This window comes from Homo sapiens, chromosome 2 (genome assembly GCF_000001405.40).
Source record: "Homo sapiens chromosome 2, GRCh38.p14 Primary Assembly".
Taxonomy (NCBI): Eukaryota; Metazoa; Chordata; class Mammalia; order Primates; family Hominidae; genus Homo; species Homo sapiens.
In genome coordinates, this window is record NC_000002.12 from 159,244,708 (window position 1) to 159,259,388 (window position 14,681).

At 38.4% G+C, this 14,681-nt stretch overlaps 1 protein-coding gene across 21 annotated transcripts in view, besides 3 other annotated features; it reads right to left on the minus strand.

Annotated features, from left to right (window-relative positions):
- Positions 1-14,681, minus strand: part of WDSUB1 (WD repeat, sterile alpha motif and U-box domain containing 1) — a 50,906-nt gene that overhangs the window by 8,910 nt on the left and 27,315 nt on the right. For 11 of the 21 annotated variants that reach the window (XR_001738650.3, XR_007069663.1, NM_001330279.2 and 8 more), the window contains 4 exons: positions 13,238-13,278; positions 13,051-13,157; positions 11,489-11,668; positions 3,665-3,805 (listed from right to left, as the gene is read on the minus strand). Coding sequence is in view for 19 of the 21 variants with exons in the window: in NM_001330279.2 (NP_001317208.1) it covers positions 3,665-3,805; positions 11,489-11,668; positions 13,051-13,157; positions 13,238-13,278 (469 nt within the window). In the remaining 2 variants the exon portion in view is untranslated. Of the gene's footprint in view, positions 1-3,664; positions 3,806-11,488; positions 11,669-13,050; positions 13,158-13,237; positions 13,279-14,681 lie in introns of those variants that run through there. The other 10 variants (XM_047443531.1, XM_047443529.1, NM_001330276.2 and 7 more) reach the window with 3 other exon arrangements.
- Positions 3,342-3,511: an enhancer, noted in NCBI's record as "experimental_53665 CRE fragment used in MPRA reporter constructs". NCBI's record gives its function as "activates a minimal promoter by MPRAs in K562 erythroleukemia cells, with activity observed for the non-introgressed 2:160104645 or rs2024288 variant allele {active_cell/tissue: K562}" and the evidence as "EXISTENCE:reporter gene assay evidence [ECO:0000049][PMID:34662402]".
- Position 3,427: a transcriptional cis regulatory region, noted in NCBI's record as "Neanderthal adaptively introgressed variant 2:160104645 (GRCh37/hg19 assembly coordinates) or rs2024288 in the experimental_53665 CRE". NCBI's record gives its function as "modulates activity of the experimental_53665 enhancer by MPRAs in K562 erythroleukemia cells {active_cell/tissue: K562}" and the evidence as "EXISTENCE:reporter gene assay evidence [ECO:0000049][PMID:34662402]".
- Positions 12,391-12,559: a silencer, noted in NCBI's record as "fragment chr2:160113609-160113777 (GRCh37/hg19 assembly coordinates)". NCBI's record gives its function as "represses an EF-1alpha promoter that drives an FKBP-Casp9 reporter gene in an ReSE screen in HepG2 liver carcinoma cells {active_cell/tissue: HepG2}" and the evidence as "EXISTENCE:reporter gene assay evidence [ECO:0000049][PMID:32094911]".

Below are 14,681 nucleotides of genomic sequence, written 5' to 3' on the forward strand. Positions count from 1 at the left end.
TGAAGCCAGAAGTTCAGGACCAGCCTGGGCAACAGAGAGACCCCATCTCTACAAAAATAAAAATTTTTACAAGTTAGCCGGGCATGGTAGTAGGTGTTTGTGGTTCCAGCTACTTGGCAGGCTGAGGCAGAAGGATTGCTTGAGCCCAGGAGGTCGAAACTGCAGTGAGTTAAGATTGTGCCACTGCATGCCAACCTGGGCAACAGAATGAGACCTCATCTCTAAAAAGTAAAAATTTAAACATTTTTTTAAAATAAGCTACCTAAAGATAATTTTGACAAAATGTGCAAAACCTGTAACAGAAAAGAAGACCTAAGCAAATGCAATGCAAAGTGATACCATGTTCATGGATTAGAGCAGTTCAACTCCAAACTAATCTATAGATTAAACACCATCCCAGTGAAAATCCGGGCAAGGAAACTGAGAAAGTGTTTCTAAGATCTATGTGGAAATGCAAAAGGAGCAAGAATAATCAAAACAGTAAAAGAACTAAGTCATGTGATTTTCACTATCTGACTTCAAGACTTACTATAAAGCAGCCGGACACCGTGGCTCATGCTTGTAATACCAGCACTTTGGAAAGCCAAAGGAGGACAGACCCCCTGAGGCCAGCAGTTCAAGACCAGCCTGACCAACGTGGCGAAACCCCATCTCTACTAAAAATAATAAAAAAAAATTAGCCAGGCATGGTGTTACACACCTGTAATCCCAGCTACTTGGGAGGCTGAGGCATGAGAATCACGTGAACCCGGGAGGCGGAGGTTGCAGTAAGCCGAGATGGAGCCACTGCACTCCAGCGTGGGCAACAGAGCAAGACTCTGTCTCAAAAAAAAAAAAAAGACTATAAAGCTACAGTAATCGAAGCACTGTGGTAACCGGCCCCCAGATAGACATAAAAATCAATCAAACATCATACAAAGTCTAGAAATGGATGATTTCAACAAACATGCCAGGTAATTCATTAATAAAATGATTTCTCAATAAGTGATGCTGGAACAACTGGATATTCATTTAGGAAAGCCATAAACAAAAATGTGAAATAAGTCCTAGACCTAAACCTAAAATTTAAAACCTTAAATTGTCTAGAAGAAAAAAGGATAAAAGATCTCTGAAACCTTGGGGTAGACAGATTTCTTAGGACTCAAAGTATGAAAGTGAAAAATAAGATTTCATCAAAATTAAAAACGTTGTCTCTATAAGAGACATCATTATGAAAGTGATGAGGCAGGCTACAAGACCAAGAGAAACTATGTGCAATACATTACCTTACAAAAGACTTGCATCTAAAGAACTCACAACACAGTAAGATAATCCAACATGAAATGGGGAAAAAACTTGAAGATATAAATTACAGAAATGATATATGACTGGATAAATAAGCTCAGAAAAAGATGCTCAACATCATTAGTCAAGAGGGAAATGCAAATTAAAAGCACAATAAGAGGCCGGGTACAGTGGCTCACGCCTGTAATCCCAGCACTTTGGGAGCCCAAGGCAGGTGGATCACGAGGTCAGGAGATCGAGACCATCCTGGCTAACACTGTGAAACCCCGTCTCTATTAAAAATACAAAAAATTAGCCGGGCGTGGTGGTGGGTGCCTGTAGTCCCAGCTACTCAGGAGGCTGAGGCAGGAGAACGGTGTGAACCCGAGAGGCGGAGCTTGCAGTGAGCAGAGATCACACCACTGCACTCCAGCCTGGGCAACAGAGCGAGAGTCTGTCTCAAAAAAAAAAAAAAAAAGCACAATGAGATACCACTTCATATCCACTAAAATGGCAAAATTTAAAAGACTAGCAATACCAAGTGCTGGAGAGGATGTGGAGAAACTGGAAGACTCAGCTAGGAAATTAGAATGATACAATCACTTTGAGAAACATTTTGGTAGTCCCTTTAAACATTCGCTTATCGTACAACCCAGTAATTTCACTCCTATATATTTAACCAAGAGAAATGAGAAATGTCCAGACAAAGATCTGTACATAAATGTTACAGCAGCTTCAGTCATAATAGCCACAAAATAGAAAAGACCTGAAAGTCCACTGACAGGTTAATGGATAAACATATTATGGCATATCTATGCAAGGAAACATTACTCAGCAATAAATATAAATTACTGATACTACAAGCTAGATCAATCTGGAAAGCTGAGAAAAAGCAGCCAGACTCAAAAGAGTTGCAGCCAGAAGGAAATGTTGGATTGGTATCTGCCTCATGGATGAAACTAAAATTTGAGACCTGTCTATGGTCACGTGTGGTTTTTTTTGTAGAAAAAAAGCACACTGAACATCAGAGTGAATATTCAGAAGCCTCTCAATAAATTGAGACAGAACCCTATTACACTCTTTGCTGCCAGGTTTTCCTAAGATTCACTTTTAATAAATCAACTGCAAACAAGAGTCCTGATAAACCAGTCAAAAAATGTGCAGCCACTGCTATACTCATAGCAAATTTCATAGCCTGAAATAAAAATAGCTAATTGACTTTTATTGAGTGTTTATTATATGCAGGTACAGCTTTAAGTACCTAATACAGATGAACTCATAACGATAAGACACTACATAATTAGTTCCACTAATAATGTGGACAGTGGACAGCATATACAAAGTAAGTCCATCAGCTAATTATCAGAGAAGATGAATAGATGTTTTATACTCAAATATATGTAAATAGTAAACTACCATGTAAAAAAAATTCATTGCCTCCCTAGCCAAGTAAGGACTATAGTTTCAAAACAACTATTAAGCTGGCAAAAGTAAATGGAGTTATAAAATACAATGATCACAAAACTGGAAAACCAGGTACAATTAGATATATTACTGGCAGCACTCTAAACTGTTTTTTTTTCCTAGAAAATAACACATCTAACGAAATGTGTCAAACTGTTTTCACATTCATAAAACATCCTCAAATTGACTAATTCTGCTTTGCAACATATAACCCACGTAAATAACCCTAAGAAATGGTAAAAACAGAAATGTGCCAAGATGTCAGCATAATGCCATTTACAGTGTAAAGATTTGCAAGCACATACACACCAACTAACAGAAAAGTCAAACACAATGTATCATACAGCCACAATGGGATAAAGCTATTCAAAGTGAAAACTCCAGACAAAGTCAACATAGACTAAGCCAATATTCAGAAACATATAAGGAAGCTGTAGGCCAAAATTAAATAAATATATATATATATATATATATAAATATATATATATATATAAATATATATATATATAAAATTTGGATTCACTGATTACAACTATGTATAATAAAGTATGTAGGTCTGTTAACACTTAGAAATATGGAATGATACAACTTTATAATTAAATTCTTTGTAGAAGATTGTTTAAATTCATGATAGACAAACACAAGAGATCTCAACAATCTGTCTTTAAAAAATAGTATTTTATCTTTACATCCTAGCAACTAAATACACATTTCACAAGTTTAAGTAAAACTTAATCCTTTTGTGTCAACTCCACAACTACTCTGTTCAATTTCATTATGAAATATACAATATTCATTTGTTCACCCAAGGTTTAATTAGTTTAAGAAAAAACTACTTAAAATTCTTCACATTTAAGCAAACTTCTGAGAACTGTCTAAACTTTTTATTCATTTAGCACAAAACATCCCCTGCAACTTAGTATAGCATCACACATACCTGATGCGATGACCGGATCTTTCATAAGTTCTCTAGTTATTGGACATATAAATTCATCAGGAATTCCTGAAGAAAGGGATTTAACCTTGGTCCTGAGCTCTTCAATTTTCCTCAGCACTTTACTACGCAGTCCTAGAGATTCTGAAAAGAAATTACTGTTAGGGCTGGATAACTACTAGTAATCCTTACTACTAGGATACTACCAGTAATCCTTATTCACAAATAGAGTTTGTTGTTGGGGTTGATTTTGAGACAGGGGCTCACTCTTTTGCCCAGGCTGGAGTGCAGTGGCAAAACGATCACCACTCATTGCAGCCTTGACCTCCTGGGCTCAAGTGATCCTCCCACCTCAGCCTCCTGAGTAGCTGGGACTACAGGCACATGGCACCATGCCCAGTTAATTTATGTATTTTCTGTAGAGATAAGGTTTCACTATATTGCCCACGCTGGTCTCGAATTCCTGGGTTCAAGTGATCCTACTGCCTCATCCTCTCAAAGTGCTGGGATTACAGGTGTGAGCCACCACAGCCAGCCACAAATAGAGATTTTATCTACTACCACCAGAAATCTTCTGACATACTGTTTTACCGCATGAACTATTGTTTTCTTTATAAATTCCTTAACAAATCTCTGTTGTATAGAATACTGTTGGTTAAAATATATCAGCAGCTAATAGCTCATTTTAAATAGATTCTGAAAGTTCAAGAATTTCAGGTTGCCAGACACTAATATACTCTACAAAATCAGAAAAGGCTCATTACTGCTTACTTACACAACAAAAAATTTCCTAAAAATCATTTTTAAATATGTTTGAGTTCAAAACATAAAAATGCCATGTTACGATATTTTTAAACTTAATGAAACTGGATATATTTGCTGATTCTTGTAAGAAACACAATCACAAATAAAGCTCATCTGTTTGTCCAAACCATAAACAGTTTCACTTGTTTTTATTCTTAACTTTAAAAGATTTTTAGTTTTAGAAAGTCTAATGAATTTTAGGAATTTTAGAATTATTGGCTGTTTACACTTTTAGAACTAGTTGACAGTTCTACTTTAGGTTGAAGTGGGTAGAAGAATTAGATTTCAGAATGCCTTACAGTTACTAGAAAAAGCCAAACCAACTTTCTTTCTGTTGGGAGGTAATGCTCCATGAGGTTTATACATGTCTTAGGACACCCTGTGTTTCAGACAGTCTTCTTGAGGATGTCTGAAAACATCCTTGGAAGCTAGAGATAGTGCGTCCCTCCCTGTGGGAGGGCAGATGTTTCCTGACTACTATAATGTCTTGCCTCTTGGGGGCTATTTGCTTAGCCCCCTCATAAGACTGGGGGTTTCCCAAGCTCAGGGCTCCTCAGCTGTGACATAAACATAAACCACCACCATGAAACTTACTTAAGAGGGAAAGGGGAGGCTGGGTACAGTGGCTCATGCCTGTAACCCCAGCACTTTGGGAGGATTAGGCAGGTGGATCACTTGAGGTCAGAATTTCAAGACCAGCCTGGCCAACATGGCAAAACCCCATCTCTATTAAAAATACAAAAAAAAAAAAGAAAGAAAGAAAAAAAATAGCTGGATGTGTTGGCACATGCCTGTAATCCCAGCTACTCGGGAGGCTAAGGCAGGAACTTCACTTGAACCCAGGAGGCGGAGGTTGCAGTGAGCTGAGATGGCGCCACTGCATTCCAGCCTGGGCGACACAGTGAGACTCTGCCTCAAAAAAAAAAAAAAAAAAAGAAGGGAAGGGAAAACAATCAGAACCTGAAGTGCAAGTGTCTGCTGTGTCACGAGTAATAAACCGTTTGAGTCAGTCAGGGCTCATTGCCCACATTCATGTGAATGTGGCAAGTTACCCTAGCAGCTTCCTGCCACCAAAGGGCTGCTTTCCTCTGACTTCCTTCCAATGGGATATGCTGAAATGAAACTGAGGATTTTTAAAACAATTTTTTTTAAAGTGTCACAAACAAATCAATGATTTCTTTACATGTTGAATATGATTTTGCAAAAATATTTATAACTTAAAAAGATTCCCTCAAATTCTTTATGAAATCACCATCCAGTTTCAAGAGAAAGCTATTTCAACACAAAGTACTCAAAAGTGCTTAGTTAGGGAAGTACCTCTAAAATGCAGCACAGTGTTAGCTGATCACCACAGCCAGCCTTGAATGTAACAAATCAGAGAATGGTCATGACAGTTTATCGAGTCCACCTCTTCCCAGAATGTCCCATTCACAATGCTGTGTTTTCCAAGGGTTAGCTGAGCTGTATTTTTATTTTGCCAGGCAAATACAGTGGAAGGTTTACGAGGAGTTATAATGATGGATCATGTATTCTAAGCTAAGTAAGGTGGAAAATAAGAGTAGAGATAGATAAGAGGTACATAAGATTAATAGAATAAAGGCTTAGATAAGATCAAGATTTGCTGAAGTGGGGTATTAGAGGATGAGATGGTAGAAAATCTGTCGTGACTGGGGTATGCTTCCTAAAAATCTTCCACCTGGGTAGAGACATGGCTTCAAAAACTGTCATAAATGTTTCCAGAACATGTTTGCAATAAGACAGTAGACATCTCATTTAAAGAGATAATTATATAACATAATAAGAAAAGGAGGCTGGGTGTAGTGGCTCATGCCTATAATCTCAGCACTTGAGAGGCCAAGGTGGGAGCACTGCTTAAGACCAGGAGTTTGAGACCAGCCTGGGCAACATAGCAAGACTCTTTCTCTACAAAAAAAATTTTAAAAATTAGCTGGGCATGGTGGTGCATACCTGTAGTCCCAGCTCCTCAGGAGGCTGAGGCAGGAGAATCTACAGAGCCCAAGAGGTAGAGGCTACAGTGAGCCATGTTCATGCCACTGCACTCCAGCCCGGGCAACAGAGTGAGACTCTGTCTCAAAAAAAAATTAAGAAAAAGAAAAAAATATAGGAGCAACTAATATTCTTTAAAAAGTATATTTTCCTGTCAAAAATATTCTACATGTGTGCTAATACTTACAATGCTTCTAGTATTTATAACAGAGAACACAGAAGGCCTAATTCAAAATTCCCCAGAGAAGGTTAAATTGGGCATTATCCTTCTCCAATCCTAACGTCATTTAGAAATGAAGTCAGATCATCTTGCCCTCAGGGAAGCGTTTACTAAACCACATCCCCAGAGCTCTACCGGAACCAAACATCTCCTTTTGTGATTGGGAGTTAAGAATAAGTCTTATACACTTAATTGCTGAGAAAGAAAGGACCCTTACCAGCTAAGGGCTAGTAAACCCTCGGTACCAGTATTGGGCAATATCTGGCTATTACTGACTATAATCCTGAAAAGACATCTTGATGACAAGTTAAAATCACCCAACTCTGGAAATGCTACATCACTGAGAGTTTGATGGAATCTAGACACTAATAACCATCAAATATACAAAACTAAACTAACGGATATAAAAACTCAACCCCAAAAACCTCTGACGAAACAGAAGGTAACGGGGTTCCGGAGTGAGAGCTGGGAAATGACAGCATAGAGCAGAGATGTGGGTACATGAATGAGACAGAGACCTTCCTACGTGTGCCCTTTACTCTCCCAACTTTGTCCTGTAAGTACCGATGCCACAGCAGCCCCAGCTGGAGGCCAGTTACCAAGACAGCACGAGAGCCTGGAATTGAACAAGCACAGACCACCAAGCTGGTCACTGACTCACCTCTCCCCTACCCTGACAGAGAACAACAGAACCAAATGCTGGTTTCTTACGAAGAAAGCTAAAAATCTGCTTTTTAAAAATTAAAAATTAATTTAAAAAATCAAATTTCTACATAGAATGATCAAGAGAAGACACGAAACCTATATTAAGAATGGAAAACACAGCTATAGATACATGAGGAATTTTTAAGAGGGTATGAAGAACAGGATAGAAGCAGTATAGTTTTTAAATTTCTCTGAAAAAACAGCAACCAGATAAACTCAAATTGCATGGACATTTCCAACAAAACAAGATAGCAAGATATCTTCATGAACCCTACAATATACGTGAGTGAGGACAAGCCATTAACAGCCATAAAGACCTGTGGTTGGCATCTGTGTAGAAGAAAGCAACAGGACATCTGATGGGCCTGAGCAAATGAGACCCCAGCATGTCCAACAAGTAAGCACTGGAAGGGAGAGTGGGCCAACTTCAGACAGCAGCTGACCAGGGAGGGTTATGCCCTTTCAACAGGGGGTCATTGCACAGTAACTAGATTTGAACAGCCTATTTCACTTTAATCACATATAAACAACAACAAAAAAACTGTAAATGTTCAATTACTTAACAATAAATGCAGTTACATAGGCAACAAGTGAAATCTACATAACGAATTAATAAGAACCGAAACATGAAACTTTCAAAACCCGAGGATACTAAGACAGGTGATGTATTTAAATTTCTAGTTTTAATTTTAAATTAGAAAATGATAAAAATGTCTTATGTGCTTTTATGATTTCTTGGAAAGAAGAGCAAATGGAAGAGTGAACCCTTTGAAAAAAATCTCGTTCCCAATTAGGCATCTATGGTTGATAATTATCTGAATTTCATAAATACCAACATGATATACAATAGTTCCTTAGCATTTGTCATTTTAAGTTTCTATCATTTTATCTTCTATAGCAATTCCAAACTCCAAGATACGTAGCAATCTGCCGCATTCCCAAGGCCTAGATATAAACTGAGGCCAATGAGTAGCTAGATGGAAGCTGTGTGGCTAGTTAGTAGTAGACTCAACTCGTTGCGTAATATCACATCTAAAAGTGACTTTCCTACTCTTAACCTTTCACACTTTATGCCTTTTGAATGAGATATTAAATGTTATAGTAGTAGTCACAAATTCATAGCAAATGTCTTAAGACATATCCCTCTCAACATCAAGGATCTCTTGAACCTGTACTCTGTCCAGACATTCCTTATCCAAATATAGTTCTAGATATAAGGAATTATTTCCTAACTAAAGCTGTACGTCTATTGTACCCTAGGCTTCCATTAACACAATCCTAGAAAATGACTATTATCCTTGGGTAAAGCTCCAAAGTCAAACATACTCAAGTCTGCAGAAATTTCATTTATTGTGTATTTACAAAAGACTCATTGAAAAAAGATTTGATAAACTGCTCAATTCCTTAAAAATAATTTAAATGTCAAACATAATAGATATACGACTTTGGTCTCAAACCCTCCAATGTACTTTACTGTACAATTAATCAACTTCCTCCATTTGCTGAATGTTAAACTCAGATTTATTCACATTGACATGGCAGCTGTTTTAAACAGTTATATCACAAAGGCAAACGCAGGTAAAATAGATATGCATTAAAAAAGCAAAATTCAATAGCATATATACTCATTGGTTCACCTCAACATATTTGTTTCTAGACCAAATTTAATTCTCTATTAGTGCAATTTACTATTTTGAGGTCTATTTTTCTTAAAATTCAGGACTAAAAGAAATTCATTGTAGCTTACAATACCATTTATAGAAGATTAAAGTTAGCCACTTGATCCTTTATAATGAAGGTTGCAAAAACCTTAAAATACATTAGAATGACATAAAAAATAAATGTTACAGTCAATTTTTACTACTTTATTCTAATTTGTTGAGTTTGCTAGATCTCCATATCTTAAACACAAGCCTAAGAGTCCTTATTTACTAGAGAATGTGCAACATTTTTGTCTCCATTCTTAATGGTTTTTCAAATTCACCTATTAGACCATCACAGAACTTGTTTAAACTGTATTTCAATTTTGGCTTGGGCCTGACACTTCCAAAACCCATTTCACTGAACTTTGAAGTAAAATGATTACTACTGCTAAACCTGAGACTCATCCTTCAAAAACTAATTGAATCATTAATTGATCATTAATTGAATCCTACAAGAATGTCTTATTCTTGGCCAGGCACAGTGGCTCATGCCTGTAATCCTAGCACATTGGGAGGCCGAGCTGGGAGGGTCACTTAAGGTCAGGAGTTTGAGACCAGCCTGGGCAAAGTAGTGAGACCTCATCTCTACAAATAATTTTAAAAATTAGCCAGGCATGGTGGCACATGCCTGTGGTTCCAGCTACTCACGAGGCCGAGGTAGGAGGATCACTTGAGCCTAGGAGGTTGAAGCTGCAGTGAGGCATGACCATGCCAGAGGACTCCAGCCTGGGCAACAGAGGGAGACCCTGTCTCAAACAAAAAACTAGAATGCCTTATTTACCTAGTTATAAAAATAGAATTGTATTTCTATTGTTTCTATATGCTTTTCTTATGTTTTCAAACATCCTTTGTTGAATCTGAAATTATTTCATATTGTGAAGTAATTCTACTTGATAAGGTACCCTTAAGATTAATTGTGAGAGATTAACAAGAAATTAAGATGCTAAATTTGTGAGTTTTTTTTAAAAACAAAGCCCCTACTCTATTACCTACTCTCAGAAGAAAGAGGAAGTTGAAAGGAAATGTTTTATTACAGAGAGATGCTGGGTGCAGTGGCTCATGCCCATAATCCCAACACTTTGGGAGGCCAAGGCTGGAGGACTGCTTGACCCCAGCAGTTTAAGACCAGCCTGGGCAATAGAGAGACCTCATCTCTACAAAAATTTGTAAAAATAAGCTGGGCGTGGTAGCATGTGCATGTGGTCCCAATTACTTGGGAGGCTGAGACAGGAAGACCACTTGAGCCTGGGAGGTCGAGGCTGTAGTGAGCTGTGATCGCACCACTGCACTCCAGCCTGGGCAACAGAGTGAGACCCTCCTATCTCTTCCCCCACCCTGCCACCCCCACACAAAAAGAGATAGAAAAGTGACTGTACTTGGCCAGGCACGGTGGCTCAGGTCTGTAATCCCAGCACTTTGGGAGGCTGAGGCAGGCGGATCACAAGGTCAGGAGATCAAGACCATCCTGGCTAACATGGTGAAACCCTGTCTTTACTAAAAATATAAAAAATTAGCCAGGCATGGTGGCAGGCGCCTGTAGTCCCAGCTACTCGGGAGGCTGAGGCAGAAGAATGGTGTGAACCTGGGAGGCGGAGCTTGCAGTGAACCGAGATCGCGCCACTGCACACCGGCCTGGGTGACAGAGCGAGACTCCATCTCAAAAATAAATAAATAAAATAAATTAAATTAAATTAAATAAAGAAAAGTGACTGTACTCAAGTATAGCCTGAGTATAGTACAAAACCACTTATGTGTTTTCACAAAATCATTCTGTTAACTCCTTAAAAGGCCATAGGCTTCCAAGAGATTTAAATAGGCTCACGTACTATGTTTACTATGTAAGGAAAGTAAAATACTTATAATACTATACTTTAAAATGGTTTTCTATAACAAAGATTTTTAGTTATTTCACTCTTCATTAGTAATAAATCTCAACATGAATATCTTATTTCCTGAGCTTTCTGGTTAACTAAAATTTTACTATAGCATATTAGTAATAGTGTCTGGCAATTATGTTTATTAGAGCATGATATCAAAACTTGTTTTTGGTAAAGATCTAGTACCCAGAATACATAAACAACTCTTACAAAGTCAACAATAAAAAGACAACCCAGTTTAAAAATGGGCAATGGATCTGATCAGACATTTCTCCAAAGAAGATATATAAATGGCAAATAAGCACATGAAAGATGCATGTCATTAGGTAAATGAAAATCAAAACCATAATGAAATTCCACTTCACAGCTGCTAGGATGGCCATAATCAAGAAGATGGGTCATTAGTGTAGTGCCAGAACATTAAGAAGAAACCATTAATGCAACAAAATCCAACTGCAGAGTAATTTGGTAAAAGTTGTTTTGAAGATTGCCTATCTTTCACTAAGCTTACCAATTTTCAAATCATCAGCCAGACTTTCTTTTGTAAGATTCAACAGTTCTTTTCCATCAATGTTATTCATCTTGAAAATACCAACAAGATCTTTTAAATCTTGTGCACAAAGCCATGTTGAGACATCCTCCTCTGACCAATCTTCGGTAAATTGCTTCAGCTGATGTTCTGTGCGCCTTGCTTAAAATAAACAAACAAGTAAGTGAGATAACAAAAAAGTATTTCCTTTATAAACATTCTCACTTTGAATTAAAAGTAAATGAAATTTCCTTAAATCTGTGTTTTATAGCTAGGTACAGTGGCTCATGCCTATAATCCTAGCTTCTCAAGTGGCTGAGGCAGGAGGATCACTTGAAGTCAGGAGTTCAAGACCGGCCTAAGTAACATAGGGAGACCAGTCTCAAAAAAAAAAAAAAAATTGTTTTACCACTTTAACTTGCTTTTGGATCATTTTCTTTTTCACATCAGGAAAACAATTTTTTATTATATAAAATTCATACCAGCAAAGGTATTCTATTTGCTCCATCATCTGCATATCAGCACCACTATTTAGATAATTCTGACAGTGATAAAAATAAAACTCCTAAATTATGTGCCAATGTCGCTTGATGCCAAAATAAAACCAACAAAATACAACGATAATTTCGATTTTGTCCTGAGGTTATATTTACCTGAAAAATTAGTATGGAGTATAAACAAATAACTTAGAAACCATGGGAGGAGTGGGACACATGAATGTGCACTGAAAGCATTTACCAACAGCTTTAACACAGCCCAGCCACTTCAACACTGGCTTCTGTAAAATTATTATTATTATTTTAGAGATGAGTTCTCACTCCCTTGCCCAGGCTGAAGTACAGTGGCGTGTTCTCAGCTCACTGCAGCCTCATGACCTCCTGGGCTCAGGTGATCCTTCCCACCTCAGCATCCCAAGTAGCTGGGGCCACAAGTGCACACCCCCATGTGTGGCTAATTTTTGTCTTTTTTGTAGAGATGGGGTTTCACCATGTTGCCCAAGCTAATCTCAGACTCCTGGGCTCACGCAATCCATCCACCTCGGCCTCCCAAAGTGCTGGGATTATAAGTGTGAGCCACCATGCCAGGCCAAACTATTTTTAAATGACATTAAATTTGGATGTATACTTTATATTGATAAAAGCAATGTGAATAACCTGTCAAATGATTTACTAACTTTTTTTTTTTTTTTTGAGATGGAGTTTCACTCTTGTCGCCCAGGCTGGAGTGCAATGGCACGATCTCAGGTCACTGTAACCTCCGCCTCCCAGGTTCAAGCGATTCTCCTGCCTCAGCCTCCCGAGTAGCGGGGATTATAAGCATGCACCATCATGCTGAGCTACTTTTTTGTATTTTTAGTAGAGACAGGGTTTCACCATGTTGGCCAGGCTGGTCTCGAACTTCTGACCTCAAGTGATACACCCACCTTGGCCTCCCAAAGTGCTGGGATTACAGGTGTGAGCCGCGGTGCCCAGCCCGATTTACTAACTTTCTGACCCTAATGGTGAGTGGGGTTGAAATGAGTGAAAAATGATGTCCTTACTAACCTTGGCAAAGTGTTTCCAGGTCAAATTGCCAGATGTTCACTGTTTTGTCCATTGAACCAGTAGCAAGTAAAAGGGTATTAGGTGCAAAAGCACAAGTTGTGACATACCTAGTTAATAAAAACAACTATTATGTATCTTCTGACTAATTTTTAAATTATATTAATACAAGGTGAGGTTAAGTTCAGACCTGGTGTGCTGAGTCAATGTGTGAAGTATATTCTCAGTATTCTGAAAAACAATAAAAACAGCTTTAAATTTACTCAAGTAAGAGTAAAGTTACTGATGAAGACTCATTTGACATAAATGGGTTGTATACTAAGTGGATATATTAATATTTATTAGTAACTAACATAAGTTGAAACTTTACTCAATGAATAGCAGAAACAGCATCTGTAACAGCATTCTCAGGTACTTACTTCACTTTTTGTCAATTATCGGCATTATTGTCTGCTAGCCACCTCCTTAGAAATTTTTAGTACAGTAGACCCTTGGCATTTGCTCATCTGTTTGAACCTACTAATAGTAACCTAAACATCTATTACCTGAAATAATTCATATTTTTGACTATGGCATTTGACTTGTATACATTGCAGGACCAGTGAGTAGAAATTAGTCCCTTGGCCGGGTGCAGTGGCTCACACCTATAATCCCAGCATGTCGGGAGGCCGAGGCAGGTGGATCACTTGAGCTCAGGAGTTTGAGACCAGCCTGGCCAACACGGTGAAACCCCATCCCTATTAAAAATATAAAATATTAGCTGGCATGGTGGCACGTGCCTGTAGTCCCAGCTACTTGGGAGGCTAAGGCAGGAGAATTGCTTGAACCCGGGAGGCAGAGGTTGCAGTGAGCCAAGATCGCACCACTGCACTACGGCCTGGGCAAAGGAGCAAGAGTCTGTCTCAAAAAAACAAATAAATAAATTAGTCCCTTAGAGTACACTAAGGTGTCCATCTAACATTTTAGGTGTATTTAAGTGGGACTCATACATATTTTACAGAGACAATTTAGTGTTATAATTGTTTTTGAGAATGTAAAATCTCATGAAACGTTCATGAGAAATATTAAAGATTTACCTCACCTAGCTTGAGTATTCTTTCCCATTTCCTGCCAGAACACTCAGTGACTCGAACTTCTGTGTGGAAGACTAGCTTACATCACTTGCTTAACTCGCTACCCTTTGATTACTTATATCTCCATTTATTTGCTGGCATAGCTACAGCATTAGGAGGCTCCACTCAACATTTTCTTCTTTTGGACAATATTTTTTTCAACTACTTTATTTTTGAGACAGGGTCTCACTCTGTTGCCCAGGCTGGAGTGCAGTGGCACAATCTCGGCTCACTGCAACCTCCACCTCCGGGGTTCAAGCCATCCTCTTGCCTCAGACTCCCAAGTAGCTGGGACTACAGGGACGCGCCACCACGGTCAGCTAAGTTTTTGTATTTTTGGTAGAGATGAGGTTTCACCATGTTGGCCAGGCTGGTCTTAAACTCCTGGACTCAAGCCATCTGCCTGCTTCAGCCTTCTGACATGCTGGGATTACAGGTGTGAGCCACTGCACCCGGCCACAACTTGGTCTTTACCCACACATGGATCAGTAAAAAACTCCCATTTTCCAAGTCCATGATAAC